Source organism: Homo sapiens, chromosome 5 (genome assembly GCF_000001405.40).
Source record: "Homo sapiens chromosome 5, GRCh38.p14 Primary Assembly".
Taxonomy (NCBI): Eukaryota; Metazoa; Chordata; class Mammalia; order Primates; family Hominidae; genus Homo; species Homo sapiens.
Genome location: NC_000005.10, coordinates 178,978,083 through 178,996,375, shown reverse-complemented (window position 1 = coordinate 178,996,375; position 18,293 = coordinate 178,978,083). Strand labels below are relative to the sequence as shown.

The window sequence follows — 18,293 nt, the reverse complement described above, 5'->3', positions numbered from 1 at the left end:
GCTCAGGCCCTCGGACGAGGAGCCTGCTAATCCCTGTGGCTAGGAGCTCACCACCTGTCTCCAGGACGCCCTTTGCTCTCTTGGCATCAGAGAGCCAAATCCTGGGCCTCGGATGGGGGGATGATAAAAGCATCTTTTGGCCAAGCCCCCTCACCTTGGCCTCCACGATGAGATGGGGAGTTAGGTGCAGAGAGCGTTGGCACAGTGAGCACCGCAGCTCGAGTGGCTGCCTCAGACCCAGAGCCCGAGGAGACTTTATACGGAGCCAGAACGACCCCGCGGGGTTCCATCCTCCCAAGCAATAGGCGGGAGTGGGAGCTGCGAGGAAAGCCGGCCCCTCCCCTCCCTCCATCCAAGGCAGTGTGGGCTGTTTGTTTCATGCCATTCTGGGTGTGAATCCTGATGCCCACACATGCCAGCTGCATGCACTTGGGCAACTCAACTCACTCCTCGAGGGCTGTTTCTCGACTGCAGGGTGTTGTAAGTTCGCTAATACTAAAGGCTTCTCCCTCCTGGCCCCTTCCTGCCCCTCGCTCTTCCTCCTCTTCCTTAGGCCCTCCCAGCTCAGGCAGCCCCTGCCCCCTGCAGGGTTCTGCAAGGAGAAAGCTGGGGAATACCTTAGGCAACTGCAGTCAGGAGCACTGGTGGCCAGGACAGAGACAGAGAGACAGAAAAGGGGTCAGGGACAGAGAGAGATAACCGCAGGGAGAGACAGGAAGGGACAGAGACAGAAAAGATTTCCAAGAAGAGGACAGAGGCAGAAAGCCAGGGACAGAGACTGAGAAACAGAGACCTAGAGGCAGAAGAAGACTGAGATAGAGATGGACAGAGATTGTGTCAGACACAGCCCCAGAGACAGCCAGACAGTCTGAGTCAGACGCAAACCAAAGACAAGAAAACAGGAAAACAGACCCAGAGATTGGGAGAGGGAGGGGAAGGAGATGCGGGGAGAGCCAGCACCGCCACCCCCCACACTCAGGAGGGGTCTCCACCCTCGGAGCGGTCTCTCATCCCTCCCTAGAATCCTTAAATCCTCTCTCGCTCAGGGCCTCGGCCGCATCTGTCACAGACTTGTCCTGAACCGACAGCGGCTGGCGCAGGTGACTGGCTTGGGGCGGGAGCCTGGGTGTGCGCTGGGGATGGACCCCGAGGAAGAGGGGCCAAGCTGTCGGGAAGCGGCAGGGCTGGAGGGGTGGAGGCAGTGGTCGGGCGGGACCCCGGGCGACAGGGTTCGGCGCTTGTAAGAGCGAGACGGAGGCCCGGGCAGGCCGGCTGAGCTAACTCCCCAGAGCCGAAGTGGAAGGCGCGCCCCGAGCGCCTTCTCCCCAGGACCCCGGTGTCCCTCCCCGCGCCCCGAGCCCGCGCTCTCCTTCCCCCGCCCTCAGAGCGCTCCCCGCCCCTCTGTCTCCCCGCAGCCCGCTAGACGAGCCGATGGCGCGGCCCCGGAGAGCCCGGGAGCCGCTGCTCGTGGCGCTGCTGCCGCTGGCGTGGCTGGCGCAGGCGGGCCTGGCGCGCGCGGCGGGCTCTGTGCGCCTGGCGGGCGGCCTGACGCTGGGCGGCCTGTTCCCGGTGCACGCGCGGGGCGCGGCGGGCCGGGCGTGCGGGCAGCTGAAGAAGGAGCAGGGCGTGCACCGGCTGGAGGCCATGCTGTACGCGCTGGACCGCGTCAACGCCGACCCCGAGCTGCTGCCCGGCGTGCGCCTGGGCGCGCGGCTGCTGGACACCTGCTCGCGGGACACCTACGCGCTGGAGCAGGCGCTGAGCTTCGTGCAGGCGCTGATCCGCGGCCGCGGCGACGGCGACGAGGTGGGCGTGCGCTGCCCGGGAGGCGTCCCTCCGCTGCGCCCCGCGCCCCCCGAGCGCGTCGTGGCCGTCGTGGGCGCCTCGGCCAGCTCCGTCTCCATCATGGTCGCCAACGTGCTGCGCCTGTTTGCGGTGAGGGCCGCGGGGCCGGGCTCGGTGTCCAGCGTCCCTCTCCCGTCCTCGCCCTGGGGTGGCCCAAGTCTCCTTCCTTTACTTCTTCTGAAAGAGTCTCCGTTTTAATCACTCGAATTCACACAGCGTCAAAGAAGCCCTGTCAGTTGAGCCCGACGCAGGCCTGAATCGGCTCCACCCAAACACTCCAGCCGCCCATGTCTACCCCGCCCCGCGAGGGCGCCCCTTCCCGGGCGGGTGCCACCTACGCCTCTGGCCGGTTGGCTGGGGAGGGCGGCCTGACTTCAGCCCCCATTTGCCAGCCTGCTCGGGTGCCCTTGTTCTGGGCACACCCCTGCAACCATACAAGGTGCTCCTGCCCCCTGGGCCTGCGGAGCGCTCGAGTGATATTGCAACTTTGAGTTTTGTTTGGAACCCGGGCCCTTCTTCCAGAGCAGCAACTGGGGCGTGTCCCTGGGCTGCTATGGGGGATGGATAGGCCTGAAAGGTCTGGTCTTTCTCTTTTTTGATCATTTAAATTTATTTTCAAAATGCCTTGAACTCTCCCTCAAGGGGCATCTGAGAGCAGGGCGGGGCGTTCCCTTCTGAGCTCTGGTCTCCTGCACCCTGCCCTGCGCAGGTGCCCGGGCTGGCCCTGCTCTGTCCTCAAATGTAGGGAACTGTCCCGTGAGGGGCAGCGTGTTCCTTGCAGTCCTAGGGGCCAGCAGAATCGGGATTAGGAGGGCTTTGGCATACAAGTTTGGGGGTTTTCGATTTGGTCATTCACTGGGGGTTGTGGGACAGTTTTTCTGGGGTTCTGTGGCGGGAGGGGCCTGTGTGCATCCGGCTCTCTGTGAAGGAGGAAGGCCTGGCTTCCATCTACCTAGGAGAGGAACTTCTGTTTCCTGAGAGCTTCTCCGACTCCCGGGCGCAGCGTCTGTGTTTGTTCCAGGCGTGCGGGGCCGCTCCCTATCGTCTGCGCACATGAAAGCCCCCATCCCTGTTTCCTCGGATTGGCAGTGTTGATGTGACATCTCCACGCTGGCACCAGACAGGCTGTGCGGCCGCCCAGGGGTTTTTCACCCACCTGTATGTGTCCCCGGCCCTGCCTAGAGCTCTAGTTTCTGTCTCTGTCCTCTAGGTCGAATGCAGAGATTCCAGACCCCAAGGCCTTCAGGGGCCCAGTTGGGGACTCAGGTGGGCAGGACTCTGTGAGCCCAGGGCCCGCTGCTGCCAGCTCAGCCCAGATTGAGGTTGTGCTGCCCGGCTAGAAATGCAAACATTAATAAAAACTGTGCAAAACACAGCCACAGGCAAGATGCTGCAATTCCTGGTCTAAAAGAACTACATTCATTTCCCAGCCACATGACCGTGCTGGCAGGCATTTTAAATTAACTTCCCTCAGGAGGTCCAGGGGGCATGGGAGGGTTGTTCCCAAACTCAAGTGTCCAGGAGAGCTGGGAGGACCACAGCATTATTCACTGAGCTGTGGCCACTGGGCCTTTCTCGTCTCTCGGTCTCCTCAGTTGTTTCTCTCTCTCTCTCTCCCTCTCTCCTTCTTGTTTCTCTCCAGCCCCACCTTCCCTCTTTCTTTCTCTCTCCCTGCCACTCCCGGCTTCCTTTTCATGCTGTCTCTATACTTTCTATCCTGCTTCAAACAACCCTGGACCAGCCCCCCTCCCTCCTTCCAGAAACTCCCCCTCTCTGGCCTTCACACCAGCTCCTGCTATAGCCCCTCTTGCGCTGGAGCCCCATAGCCCCCTCTTGGCGGCCTTCTCAGCCCCGTGTCTCTGCCTCCACACTCCCCGGTCAGTTCAGCCTCTGGTCTCTGCTGTTAATCACTCTAATGCATGCAGAGAAACCCAGTTTCCAACAATCCCCATCCTAGGCCAGACACAGCTTTAAATGGAACATCCCCTGCTGCTCCCCTGTCTGCCCTAATCCCTCCTAGGGCTGCCTGTCCCTGCGGACCACCCCTTGGTGTGAATCAAGAAAACGTGCTTTGCCCTGGGCCTGACTAGGACAGGCAGATGCAGCTGGATGGGCTGCAGGCCCTCTGCTGGGGGTCCTTGTTCAGGACACAGCTTGTACCAGTATATGTGGCGGTCCTGCCCTCTCCCCAGCCCTGCATACCTCCCACCTGCACAGCATTCACGGAATTCTCAGGCCCACTCGCAAAACACCACAGCTTCCAGCCTTTCCAGGTGGCTGCTCCAGCTGGCCCCAGGTCCCCACCCCAACCCTTCCATCTCCCATCTGTGTCCCAGGTCCATGCCACACACCTTCTGTGCCCCGTCCGTGTCCTGGGCCCCCCTTACCCTCCCTCTCTTGAGTTACTGACCTCCATCCACAGCCCAGCTGTCCTTCCTGCCCCACAGATACCCCAGATCAGCTATGCCTCCACAGCCCCGGAGCTCAGCGACTCCACACGCTATGACTTCTTCTCCCGGGTGGTGCCACCCGACTCCTACCAGGCGCAGGCCATGGTGGACATCGTGAGGGCACTGGGATGGAACTATGTGTCCACGCTGGCCTCCGAGGGCAACTATGGCGAAAGTGGGGTTGAGGCCTTCGTTCAGATCTCCCGAGAGGCTGGTGAGCTGGGGGCTCCGAGGCACCAAGGAGTCTACATAGTGTGGGCCCGGGGCCCTCAGTTGGGGCAGAAGCAGAAAGATGGGGGGCCCAGGTCCATGCTGGGCCGAGGTTGCCTGGCTGGTGCTCCATGTGGGCGGGACCTCTTTGTTTTGGACGACTCAGCCCTGCCTCAGGCTTGGCGGAGGGTGCAGGCCAGACTTCACCCCTGCAGACCCTTCAGCCAGCCTACACAGTCCTCTGCAGCGGTGGCCAGGTGGGTGTGTGGGTGGGTGGGACGGAAGCTGACTCTGGCACCCCCAACGCCCAGGGGGGGTCTGTATTGCCCAGTCTATCAAGATTCCCAGGGAACCAAAGCCAGGAGAGTTCAGCAAGGTGATCAGGAGACTCATGGAGACGCCCAACGCCCGGGGCATCATCATCTTTGCCAATGAGGATGACATCAGGTGGGACAGTGGCACAATCACCGGGCCCCTGGGGCTCTCCCTGAGGGTCCCACCCCTCCTCTTGCACATCGCCACCTTACACACTCTCCCTGCCTCCCTTTCCCCTGCTCCCCGCACCCCCCACCTTCCCTGCTGCTGCCTCTGAGTCTGGTGCCCAGGCTCAGAAGCAGCCTGGTCTGGGGAGATGCCACAAGCCCAGACTGAATAGCGCACAGAACATGTGTCTGTGTTTACAGCTCCTGGGGGTGCGGGGAGGGACCTGTGGGCAGAACCTAGTGCAGAAAATGAGCTGTGAGGGAAGGAGCCCAGGGTCCATACAGAGGCTGCGGACCCCAGCCCGAGACCCACCGGCCCGAGTTCATCTCCAGCCTAGGAGGCTGGGTGTGACGCTGGTGGAGGCATGTGGGGAGGGGCTGGCTTCGAACTGGATTTTCCCCCAAGGAGTCCCTCTGAACCCCCTGAACAGTGGGTTACAGTGGGCAGAGCAAGTGGGCAGGCCTAGGGTCAGAGGAAAGCCCAGGGAAGGTGCCCTAAATGCCCCCGGCCCCGTTTTTCCTGAGAAACAAGGATCTGGTGAGTGATTATAGAGCAGGGGAGATGGATAGAGTGGGAAGGGATGGGGGCCGAGCTGGAGGAGGCTCCCAGGCCCTCCCTCACCCCAGCCCTGCTCCTACCAGGCGGGTCCTGGAGGCAGCTCGCCAGGCCAACCTGACCGGCCACTTCCTGTGGGTCGGCTCAGACAGCTGGGGAGCCAAGACCTCACCCATCTTGAGCCTGGAGGACGTGGCCGTTGGGGCCATCACCATCCTGCCCAAAAGGGCCTCCATCGACGGTGAGTCCAGGGGCACTCCATCCCCCACCCCACACGTCTCCCCAGCACCCCCTCTTGGGGATGCTCATTTTCTGCATCTGTGTAATTGGTGCCATAATCCAGATCCCTTCTCAGATCCCCAGATCCTATGAGTCCGATCATCTGTGGACGCGTCCCTCCAAGCAGCGCTTGACTGGGATGGCGTGCGAGGAAAGCACGCTCCACTCACTGGACGGGGAGGAATTGTTGGGTTTTTGGTTTTGTTTCTTAATTTAGTGCCTGTATTTCTAGTGCTGCCAAAGACATTCTAATCTGAGGGTGAGGGTGGGAGGGAGAGAAACCAAGGATACGGAATATACCATCCTGGTGATCAGAGTGATGAGGCCCCTGCACCCCCAGTCCTACCTGTGGATCTGGATGAATCCAGCAGGAACAGATGGCTCACTTTACAATAGGATTGCTCATTTTCCCCAAGGCTGGACCGAGGACACCTTGATGACATCCTTCAGGGCTATTTTATGAAACACAGACCCTGGAAAGGCTGAGCCCTGGCTGCTAGGGCCTCTTAGCCTTAGGGGGATATATACCATCACGCCTTTTATTTCAGCTACGTTGCATCTGGGTGCAGGTGGCAGCCTGGACTGAGAGTAGTTTTAGCGATAAAGGCATCTCATCACAAGACAGGAGGTCTGAGAGTTGGTGACTTTAGGCATGGGGCAGTGAGTGAATGCGCTCTCAAAGCCCTGGGCTCTGTCCATTCCTTTGTTCCACCATTCCCTGTGGTTGCCTTGGGTCTTCCTGCTTATGGTCTCATAGTCACAAGATGGCTGCTGAGGCTCCACCCATTACATCTTCACAGCAGCATCCTAACAGGAAAGAAGGAGCAGGGATAAAAGTCTTTCAAATGGTGAGGCTCTGAGTTTGCATCAGCATGTAAGTGCTACCCTGGAACCTCCAGTTGGCTCTGAGTCCACCAATCAGAACTTGGTCACCTGGCCACGCCTAGCTCACCTGGCCACTCCTAGCTCACCTGGCCACGCCTAACTCACCTGGCCACTCCTAGCTCACCTGGCCATGCCTAGTTCACCTGGCCACTCCTAGCTCACCTGGCCACTCCTAGCTGAAAGTGAGCAAGTGGCAGAGAGACACAGGAGAAACACAGCTGGCTCAGGTCAGCGCCACCCTCCCCCTTCTTCCCTGTCTGTAGGATTTGACCAGTACTTCATGACTCGATCCCTGGAGAACAACCGCAGGAACATCTGGTTCGCCGAGTTCTGGGAAGAGAATTTTAACTGCAAACTGACCAGCTCAGGTACCCAGTCAGACGATTCCACCCGCAAATGCACAGGTGAGAGCTGCCCAGGGTGGTGAGGGTGGGGAGGGTGGGGAGGGTGGTGAGGGTGGGGAGGGGGAAGGCGGGAGGCCGGGTTCGGTGCATGGGGGCCGGGCACACTTTCTCTGGGCATCCCTAGGACAGGCGAGGAACGCATCGGCCGGGACTCCACCTACGAGCAGGAGGGCAAGGTGCAGTTTGTGATTGATGCGGTGTACGCCATTGCCCACGCCCTCCACAGCATGCACCAGGCGCTCTGCCCTGGGCACACAGGCCTGTGCCCGGCGATGGAACCCACTGATGGGCGGATGCTTCTGCAGTACATTCGAGCTGTCCGCTTCAATGGTGAGTGGGTGCCTGCCCCCCTGCAGCAGTGAAGGACAGCTGGGGGGCTGGATTTTGCTGTGAGGCCTGGGACAACCTCAGGGTGGAAGGGCTGGGTGAGGCTGAGTGGTCTAATGGGGGTGCCTGGGGCTGAGTGCCAAAGACATGAGACAAGTTCCGGTCCCCAATTTTTAACACTGCTCCCTCCCCAGGCTTCAGTGTTCCCTGCGCTGGTTTGCACAGTTCAGATGCTGGGGAGCTTCTCTGATCCCTTCTGCCAGGAACCCCCAGTGGGTCACACCACACTCCCCTCCACTGCGCAGAGCTTGAGGGCATCTGGACCCTGGGGGTGCACGTGGGGCACAGTTAAGACTGCGTGGGGCGCCTACCCAGGGACATGCCGCCCACTCTGAGTCATGCGCCAGGCACAGGCGTGGGTCTGACCTGTCCCTTGGCACCAGGCTTGGTGTGTGGTCAGGGCTCAAAACTGTGTCTTCTGAGGAGACCCCAGTGGACTCAAGCTCTGTCCACGGTTTGTGGAGAGATGACTTTCTGTTCAATCACTATCCTTTACACAATTCAAAACTCCGCTCTTCCACTGAACACTCACTCACCACCTTCTCTCCGCCATGCTCTCTGCTAATCAATTCCATTTAATATGACTCCAGAGCATCTCTGCAAGCTGGTGGAACAAGCTTGTAAGAAAAATAGAGCTCATTGTTCAAGTCATTCCAATTTCATACTGTCACTCAGACCTCTCTCCGTGTCTGAACTCATCCTCTCGCCTGGACAGTGAAACTTTTTTCATTTTTAATTGTGATAAAATACATATAATATAAAATGTATCACCTTAACCATTTTTTAAGTGTAGAGTTCAGTGATATTAAATACATTCAGTCTGGGCGCAATGGCTCACTCCTGTAATCTGAGCACTTTGGGAGGCCGAGACAGGTGGATCACTTGAGGTCAGGAGTTCGAGACCAGCCTGGCCAACATGGTGAAACCCCATCTCTACTAAAAATACAAAAATTAGCTGGGCATGGCGACGGGTGCCTATAATCCCAGCTACTCGGGAGTCTGAGACAGGAGAATTGCTTGAACCCGGGAGGCAGAGGTTGCAGTGAGCTGGGATTGTGCCACTGCACTCCAGCCTGGGCGACACAGTGAGACTCTGTCTCTAAATAAATAAATAAATAATAAATTCACAATGTTATGCAACCATCACCACCATCTATCCCCAGAACTCTTCATCTATGAAACCATAACTCTGTATGCATTAAACACTTCCCCATCCCCTCCTCCCGCCAGCACCTGCAACCGCCATTCCACGGCCCCTCTCTATGAATTGTCTACCCTCGGTACCTCCTGTGGTGGCATCAGACGGTATTTGCGCATGTGTGACTGGCTTGTTTCACCGAGCATCATGTCCTCCAGGTCCATCCATTTTATAGCATGGGTCAGAACTGCCTTCCTTTTGAAGGCTGAATCGCATCCCATTGTGTGAATGGCCCCGTCGTGTTCGTCCATTCTTCTGTCAGTGGACGCTCGGGTTGCTTTCATCTTGTGGCTATGTGAATAACGCTGCTGTGAACGTGGCTGTACAAGCATTTCTTGCCACCCTGCTTTCTAGTCTCTCGAGTATCTACCCGGGAGTGGAACTGCTGGGTCATGTGTTTAATCTTTTGAGGAGGCTCCACACTGTTTTCTGCAGCGGCTGCAGCCTTTTCCCACCCACCGTGCACAAGGGTTCCGACTTCTCCACACGCTCACAACACTCGTTATTTTCTGGTTCTTGGCTAGAAGCCATCCCAATGGGTGAAGGGGGATCTCCCTGCGGCTTGGATTTGCACGTCCCTTATGAGCAGTGATGCTTGTTAAGCTCCTCCTTTCTCCTGCTGGTCCCTGGGGCCTCCCCAGGAGGCCAGCTCTGCTGGGCTGGAGGACCACCGAGGATGACGGACTCTCTCTCCAGGCAGCGCAGGAACCCCTGTGATGTTCAACGAGAACGGAGATGCGCCCGGGCGGTACGACATCTTCCAGTACCAGGCGACCAATGGCAGTGCCAGCAGTGGCGGGTACCAGGCAGTGGGCCAGTGGGCAGAGACCCTCAGACTGGATGTGAGTGTGCAGACCGAGCCCCAGGTGGGCATGGGCCCAGGATCCCGGAGGCAGACGCCCCAGCCTGTGTTTTGTGCGTCCCAGGTGGAGGCCCTGCAGTGGTCTGGCGACCCCCACGAGGTGCCCTCGTCTCTGTGCAGCCTGCCCTGCGGGCCGGGGGAGCGGAAGAAGATGGTGAAGGGCGTCCCCTGCTGTTGGCACTGCGAGGCCTGTGACGGGTACCGCTTCCAGGTGGACGAGTTCACATGCGAGGCCTGTCCTGGGGACATGAGGCCCACGCCCAACCACACGGGCTGCCGCCCCACACCTGTGGTGCGCCTGAGCTGGTCCTCCCCCTGGGCAGCCCCGCCGCTCCTCCTGGCCGTGCTGGGCATCGTGGCCACTACCACGGTGGTGGCCACCTTCGTGCGGTACAACAACACGCCCATCGTCCGGGCCTCGGGCCGAGAGCTCAGCTACGTCCTCCTCACCGGCATCTTCCTCATCTACGCCATCACCTTCCTCATGGTGGCTGAGCCTGGGGCCGCGGTCTGTGCCGCCCGCAGGCTCTTCCTGGGCCTGGGCACGACCCTCAGCTACTCTGCCCTGCTCACCAAGACCAACCGTATCTACCGCATCTTTGAGCAGGGCAAGCGCTCGGTCACACCCCCTCCCTTCATCAGCCCCACCTCACAGCTGGTCATCACCTTCAGCCTCACCTCCCTGCAGGTGGGTCCGTAGGCTCCCAAGGGCCAGGGCAGGGAGGGGGACTGTCCGCAACGTTACAAAGCCAAAAGGGCCAGGCACAGTGGCACACGCCTGTAGTCCCAGCACCTTTGGAGGCTGAGGTGGGTGGATCACCTGAGTCCAGGAGTTCGAGACCAGCCTGGGCAACATGGCATGACCCTGTCTCTGCAAAAAATATGAAAATTAGCCAGGCATGGTGGTGCGTGCCTGTAGTCCTAGCTACTTGGGAGGCTGAAATAGGAGGATCGCTTGAGCCCAAGAGTTGAAGGTTGCTGTGAGCCAAGATCGCACCACTACAATCCAGCTTGGGTGTCAGAGTAAGACCCTGTCTCAAAACAAAAAGATAAATGCCGTTTTTAGAGTCACTCTTTTCTATTTTGGTTCCTGTGTTGTTTTGTTTTTTTTTTTTTAGACAGAGTCTCGCTGTGTCGCCCAGGCTGGAGTGCAGTGGCACTATCTCAGCTCCCTGCAAGCTCTGCCTTCCGGGTTCACGCCATTCTCCTGCCTCAGCCTCCCGAGTAGCTGGGACTACAGGCGCCCGCCACCACGCCCGGCTAATTTTTTGTATTTTTAGTAGAGACAGGGCTTCACCGTGTTAGCCAGGATGGTCTCGATCTCCTGACCTCGTGATCCGCCCACCTCGGCCTCCCAAAGTGCTGGGATGACAGGCGGGAGCCGCTGCGCCCAGTGAGTTTTTTTTTTTTTTTAAGGCCACAGGAAATGGAGCCCCTCCCCTCCTGTGACAGCAGCTCAGTTAGGGCCGCCATCTCCCCTGCTGGGTCCTTGAAGGAAAACGGGGCAGTCAGGTGGGGAGTGTGGGCCTCCAGAGATCTTTCTGTACAACAGTGAAGTTATTTTCTAAACCAAAATGCTCTTCTACAATTTGGCTCACATATGGAAACAGGTCAAAGAGCTATCTGACCGGTTTTCCTGTTTCCACAAGGGAGTCTCTGCTGCCCTGCTCCCTGGGGCAGTGTGGATGAGAGGCACAGGGTCCAACATTTTACTGTGGAAGAGCATCGAATTCCATCCAGTGGCCAGCGTTTCGTGCTGGCCGTTAAATAATGGAGCTCCTTTGGGGGATTTTCCTAAGACAGTAAAGTTATTACAGCCTTGGAGACAACTCTTGGAGTCTGGGGCGCCCTGGATGTTTTCTGTGTGAAGAGTACGAGAGACAGATGGCTTGGGGAGGGTGACCTGGTGTGACACTGCAGGGCCAGCTGGGTTCTCAGGGCCAGGTGGAGGGTGGCCTCAGTGCGAACACCTGCTCACCCGTTTGGAGCACTCCCGGTGCTGTCCACTCCCGGCGAGCCCCTTCTCTATTCGTTCCACACACGCCACGTGCCTCGGGTCATGCAGTTCTCCGTGACTAGGAGGTGCTCCCGTCTTCCTCCACGTAACAGGGCCTGAGTGTCCCCTGGTCAGGCCCAGGGTCTCCGTGTGCCGCACATCCTGAGAAGGTGCCCTCTACGTCCCGGCCTGAGGTGCTCCTGCTCCCCCACCCTCAGGTGGAGATGCTTAGACCCCGTTGGGGACCCCCAGCTCTCCTCCCCAGCCTCAGCCACTGCCCGCCCCACACTGTACCCTCTTTTCCAGATACAAGGGATCTTTAAAAACACACAAGCCTGCAACTGGCCTAGGTGTTTTGCCATGACTACCACGTCATGACGGGCTGCAAAATGGCATCTCACTGTGGCTTCAATTCGCCTGCACTTAGCACCAGTGCGCCGGCCATGGGGCTTTCCTCTCCTGGGCTCAGCCTGTTCCTGTCCTTTGCTCATTTGCTGTTATTTTGCAGGAGTCCGTTCCGAGTGAGGCGTGCTCGCTCGCTCCCCACTCCACGGGCTGCGGCATCTGTGGGCCGTTTTGGTGGTTACCGCTGTGCAGCCCTGGGCTTGCATTTTTGTTTCTCATGAGCAACTTTTTTTTTTTCCACCTGGAGCCTTGTTCTAGTAGGAACTTCCAAACTTATTTTGGAAGTTGGTCTCGATCTCCTGACCTCGTGATCCACTTATTTGGAAGGTCCTTTGTTCAGGGGTCTGCTGCCTTTGGGAGAAGCACAAAAAGCTGCTGCTTCTGGGTGGGCAGATGACTGCAAAGCATCCCTTCCAGCAGGATCACATGGCCCTGCTCCAGGTGCTCGGCATGGCACTGGCATGCAGGCTGGATTCCAGCTCCACCCCTGCCCCCAATCAGGCGCTCTCGTACAGTGAACAACCAGCACGAACGTGTGGGGCAGCCCTTCCAGGGTCCCGCCTTTATGCAGGTGGCTTCGTTCCTGTTCCCCAGCTTTCCTTGGCTTGAGGTTGTGCTTCCTGTCATGTGAGGGAGTGGTAACTCCATCTCCTCCCTGTGAGGGCCTGCACAGACTCCAGTACTCCTCGGCATCAGCTCCCATTCCTGCTCCTCCCCACTGAGTGCTCCTTTGTTTCTCTTGCCTGTGGCGTGCCCTGATTTTGAAGCTCAGTACACGTGAGGAGGCTAGAGAGGCGATGCGAGTAGGGCCTCAGTTCCAGAGCTTCCGGCCACATCCATCTACCTTGAAGGGGCGCAGTAAATGGCATTGGTAATGGCTAGAATGCAGGAAGAGGACACCAAGCTGCCCCTTATGCACACTGCACTGATGTTGCCAACATATACGGGCGGCACAGCCCTTCTCCGCAGCTGCCAGGTCACGGGCCTTTGGACGGACCCCTCTTGGGCTGCCCCTGCCTGGGCTGCCATCCCCTCTTCTCCACTGAGTGCTCCTGAGAGCCACCACGAAGAGGTGGAGCATCCCCTCCATAGGCCAGAGCCTCAAGGGGATCCTGACCCGCAGGGGCCTCTGTCAGGGCTGGAATGGATTTGTCCCTGGAAAGTGCTGTGTCTGATGCAGTGTTGGCTCCTGCAGGTGGTGGGGATGATAGCATGGCTGGGGGCCCGGCCCCCACACAGCGTGATTGACTATGAGGAACAGCGGACGGTGGACCCCGAGCAGGCCAGAGGGGTGCTCAAGTGCGACATGTCGGATCTGTCTCTCATCGGCTGCCTGGGCTACAGCCTCCTGCTCATGGTCACGTGCACAGTGTACGCCATCAAGGCCCGTGGCGTGCCCGAGACCTTCAACGAGGCCAAGCCCATCGGCTTCACCATGTACACCACCTGCATCATCTGGCTGGCATTCGTGCCCATCTTCTTTGGCACTGCCCAGTCAGCTGAAAAGGTAATGAGGTCCCCAGGAGGTCTCGCTGCCTGTTTCCTGCCTGTCAGGCTGGTCGATTCATTCATGAGATTAAATGCTTGTTCGTGCTTTTGTTTATCCCGTATCTGGCTGCTTGTTCATTCACTCATTCCCTTCTTACTTTGTTCATTCATTCACTTTTCCAAGCTTCTAACCCCTCTTCTTAACTTCCACTCTTCTTTTTTTCTTTTTTTTTTTTATCATTTTCATTTCTTTGAGAGATATTGCCTCACTCTGTCACCCAGTTACAGTTAGCTTGTTTTTTTTAATTCAAGTTCTTCATATGCTTTTTTTTTTTTTTTTTTTTTTTTTTTTGAGACAGAGTCTCACTCTGTTGCCCAGGCTGGAGTGCAGTGGCGTGATCTTGGCTCACTGCAAGCTCCGCCTCCTGGGTCAAGTGATTCTCCAGCCTCAGCCTCCCCCGTAGCTGGGACTACAGGTGCCTGCCACCACGCCTGGGCAATTTTTGTAATTTTAGTAGAGATGGGGTTTCACCATATTAGTCAGACTGGTCTCAAATTCTTGACCTCAAGTGACCCATCTGCCTCGGCCTCCCAAAGTGCTGGGATGACAGGCGTGAGCCACTGCGCCCAGGCTTCATGTGCTTTATAACTGCCAACCCATTAATGCGTCAGCCCATTGCTGCATCATTTATTCACGTATGCGGCAGAATATTTTATGCACCTGTCATCCATTTATTTGCCCATCTGCTCCTGAAGTTTGTCTCTGCCCATTTATTCATTTGTATGTATTTGAAACGTGCTCATTCACTGACATGCCCCGGCTCCCGCTTCCCCAGGTGTCTCTCTGTTAATAACCCCTCCTCACCCCTCCCTCCTGCCCACACCAGAGCTGCATGGAGGCTGCCAGCCCCTCAGGCGCGGGGCCCCTGCTCATACTGTTGTCCTGGTCTAAGTGCTCATTCCCAGTTCCCCAACTGAAACAGACTCAGCTCCAGAGTATGTGGTGAGGACTGTGTGGAGCGGGGCAGGGAGAGCAGGGCTGAGTCCCATCTGGTCCCCTCTTCCATGGCCTAGATCTACATCCAGACAACCACGCTAACCGTGTCCTTGAGCCTGAGTGCCTCGGTGTCCCTCGGCATGCTCTACGTACCCAAAACCTACGTCATCCTCTTCCATCCAGAGCAGAATGTGCAGAAGCGAAAGCGGAGCCTCAAGGCCACCTCCACGGTGGCAGCCCCACCCAAGGGCGAGGATGCAGAGGCCCACAAGTAGCAGGGCAGGTGGGAACGGGACTGCTTGCTGCCTCTCCTTTCTTCCTCTTGCCTCGAGGTGGAAGCTGTATAGAGCCCGGGTCCACGGTGAACAGTCAGTGGCAGGGAGTTTGCCAAGACCATGCTCCGCGTCGGTGGGGCTGGCCTTGAGAAGGAACTGGACCCAGCTCTACCCCGATTCCAGCATGTGAGCTTCATGCTTCCTCACCACAGACCAGACTCGCTTCCCATGGTGGGAAACAGCCACCGAGAAGGTTCTAGCTCTAGAAAGGGACTAAACTTATTCTCTCATCCGAAGTCCAAAGAGGATGATGAAGCCCTGGGCTTTGCCTGGTTTGCGGGAGATTTCCTCCCCTCAGTCAACCCCCATAACCTGGGGATTGGGCAGTGTGGAAGAACGTGTAGACCCCAGAATGAAACATGGGGTTGGAGTGGAGGAGGAGCTGTCTCAGCAAGAGGAGACCTGGGGCTGTGCATCTGGATGGAGGCACTCAGGCCTGGGTAGGATTCCTCTGGCACGGAGGGAGAGACCCTGGGTGAGACCCCTGTGAGCATGGGAAGGGCCTGCAGTGGGCGCGGGAGTGAGCTGAGGAACTGGGGTGCGCCCCCATGAGATTCCCAATGCCATGGGCTTTCCCCCATCCCCCCGGGATTGGGCAAGGTCAGACTTAGAGTACAGCTGTTTTCCTCCCCTCTGTGTACTCCCTTAAATCACCCCAACCTTGGCCAGGCATGGTGGCTCACACCTGTAATCCCAGCACTTTGGGAGGCCGAGGCAGGTGGATCACCTGAGGTCCGGAGTTCGAGACCAGCCTGGCCAATGTGGTGAAACCCTGTCTCTACTAAAAATACAAAAATTAGCCAGGTGTGATGGTGGGTGCCTGTAATCCCAGTTACTTGGGAGGCTGAGGCAGGAGAATCGCTTGAACCTGGGAGGTGGAGGTTGCAGTGAGCTGTGATTGTGCCACTGTACTCCAGCCTGGGTGACAGAGCGAGACTCTGTCTCAAAAAAACAAAACAAAAAAACACCAAAAAAACCCCCAAACCTGAAGAAATTCAGATACACGTGTGTAATGTTAGTGATGTGAGAACAAGGAGCAGGGGTGCATTTGTGTTGTGTTCGGGTTGGGGATGGGTTTAGGAGCTCCAGGTTGGGAGCAGTGACAGAGAGTCATGGCCGTGGTGAGGGTGAATCCCAAGTGGATGGCTCAGGACGGGTATGGAAACCCTTCATTCCTCATAGGTACTGGGAAGTCCATTTGCAAGCTGAGCGCCAGGCCTGGGGAGGAAGAGGCTTGGGCTGCAGATGCACGCACATTTGTTTTTCACTGATAGTTTTTACAAAAAGCTTGGTTTAAGTTATGGAGTTTTATGTCCCTGGGAGTAGAATTTACATTTGTTAAATTGACCACTGTTTAAGATCAGTATACATTCTCTAGTCTGTGATGTCTGGAGCTAGTTTTGAGGGTGAACCACACTTTATCCAACATACAAACTTTCCCATGCAGCTTCTCTGGTGCGCAGTTGGTTTTGACCGTGGGACTAGGTGCTTCTGCAGGTTTTAAGTAATTAACTTAAAAGCTTCTCCTCTGAGAAACATTTCTGTTGCGCTACTGACTCTCCTTCTCCACATTTGTTGTGTTCCTAGGGCTTCTCTATAGTGCACATTAGGACGTTTCATTTGTTGCTGAATGCTTTCCAGAATTATTTATTCCATAGGGTTTCTCTCCTGTGCAGCTCTCTCATGGGTAATGGGGCGTGTTTTCTTGCCAAAGGCGGTTCCACCCTCGTGATTGTATAGGGCTCTTCTCCTGTATGAACTCTGAGATCAGTGAGCTCTGATCTCCAAGGGAAAGTTTTCCTGCATTTGCTGTTTTCTCATGTCTCTCCCAGTGTGAATTCTTTGGTGTGCAGTGCGCTCTGGCTTCTAGCTGAAAACTTTTCCACAGTTTTACATTCATGTGGTTTTCTCCACTGTGAACTCTGTGATTCAGAATCAGAAGCAGTTCTTAGTAGAGGCATTTCTACACTGATTGCACTGAGGATTTCTCCCCAGTGTGAAGTTTCTGGCATAGAGTCCTGGCTTCCCGCAGACGACTTTCACACTCTGCCATGTTCATGCCTGTGGGCCTCTCTGGCAGGAACTCTGATGCACCGCGAGGCCCATGTACTCCTGTGGCTTTCTCACATTCGGTCTACTTGCAGGGTATCTCCACAGCATGCACCATTCTGGGTACAGGGGGACATCCTCTGTTACTGAAGATGTTGTCATATTTAGTACCTTCACAAGGTTTCTCTCCTTCCAGAATTTTCTGATGTACACAAATAACTGACTTCCACAAGAGGGCTTTTCCACACTCGGTGTGTGCATACAGTTTCTGCCTGTGATCATTTCTTTATGTTATTATTTTATTTTTTCGAGATAGGGTCTTGCTCAATTTCTTAGGCTGGAGTGCAGTGGCACGATCATAGCTCACTGAAGTTTCGACCTGGGCTCAAGCAATCCTCCCGCTTCAGCCTCCTGAGTAGCTGGTGCGCACGACCATACCCAGCTAATGTTTTATTTTTTGTAGAGACGAGGTCTCACTATGTTGCCCAGGCTGGTCTCGAACTTCTGAGCTCGAGCGATCCTCCTGCCTCCACCTCCCAAAGTGTTCGGATTACAAACGTGAGCCATCGCACCTAGCCTCTTTGATCATTTCTGTGGTGTTCAGTGGAGGTTGACAGCTCCCTAAAGATTTTCCTGTTTTTTTGCATGCATGGGTTTGAATTCTTTGAGGTCCAATTTATTTGGACCCCTGAATAAAGTTTTGTGGGTTTTCTTCTATGTGTGGAATTTATAAGGCATTCTTCCAGTGTGGTTTCTCTTATGTCGAGTGAGAGCTGACCTGCACCGAAGGTTTTGTCCCATTTGTTGCCCTTGAATTATTTGTATGAATTATATGTTCCAGTGAAAATGGAGTTCTGGGTTGGAGGCTTATTCCATGTTTACACAATTAAAATTGCAGTGTTCCTCTCTGGGATGAGAGCTCTAAAGCAGAGTAAGATTACGTTCTGATGTAAGCTTTAACCACCTATTTATAAGGTCTCACCTGTGGTCCACTGTGTTGAGACTTCTACAGAAGAGCTTCTGTATAGTAACCATTTTCTTAGGCTGTCTCACTTGTGTGAATCTTCTGACACATTTATTATAGCTTTGTCCCATTTCTTATCCTTTTTGCTCTTTAGAAATTTCCCTTTAATTTATTACATTCATTGCTTACTGTAAAGAGTCCAGGTAACTGACTTTATTCAGTTACTTCCTGTTCAATAAATTTAACTTTTCCCAAAAGTTTGACTTAGGTCTTCGGTTGCTTCTTTATACAGATATTGTTTCATAAAACTTCTTCAAAAATGGAATAAAATGCACAATTCCAAGTGAATCTTCTCATCATTTTATAGAATGAAACTGCTTCACAAATACTCTTTGTTATATTGATACCTTTGTTTCTAAACGTGAAAAATTCCAAACTAAATATTTTCTATCTCTTGGGCTTTGACAGGGGAAAAACTGCTGTAGTATGGACAGCCAGAGT

The 18,293-nt window shown here is 55.9% G+C and overlaps 2 protein-coding genes across 2 annotated transcripts in view, besides 1 other annotated feature; one reads left to right on the top strand and one right to left on the bottom strand.

Annotated features, from left to right (window-relative positions):
- Positions 1,056-18,049, top strand: GRM6 (glutamate metabotropic receptor 6). The gene is made up of 11 exons (NM_000843.4): positions 1,056-1,100; positions 1,416-1,935; positions 4,293-4,509; positions 4,817-4,952; positions 5,630-5,784; positions 6,971-7,111; positions 7,241-7,441; positions 9,393-9,538; positions 9,623-10,246; positions 13,155-13,466; positions 14,522-18,049. The coding sequence occupies exons 2-11, from the start codon at positions 1,432-1,434 to the stop codon at positions 14,717-14,719; spliced, it is 2,634 nt and encodes an 877-aa protein (NP_000834.2). The 5' UTR covers positions 1,056-1,100; positions 1,416-1,431; the 3' UTR covers positions 14,720-18,049.
- The window catches only part of ZNF454 (zinc finger protein 454), a 48,831-nt gene continuing 36,885 nt past the window's right edge, over positions 6,348-18,293 (bottom strand). Inside the window, exon 6 of the transcript XR_007058600.1 lies at positions 6,348-6,629. The gene's annotated coding sequence lies outside the window, so the exon portion shown is untranslated. The remainder of the gene's footprint in view (positions 6,630-18,293) is intronic.
- Positions 13,482-13,651: an enhancer, noted in NCBI's record as "experimental_83773 CRE fragment used in MPRA reporter constructs". NCBI's record gives its function as "activates a minimal promoter by MPRAs in K562 erythroleukemia cells, with activity observed for both the introgressed and non-introgressed 5:178409811 variant alleles {active_cell/tissue: K562}" and the evidence as "EXISTENCE:reporter gene assay evidence [ECO:0000049][PMID:34662402]".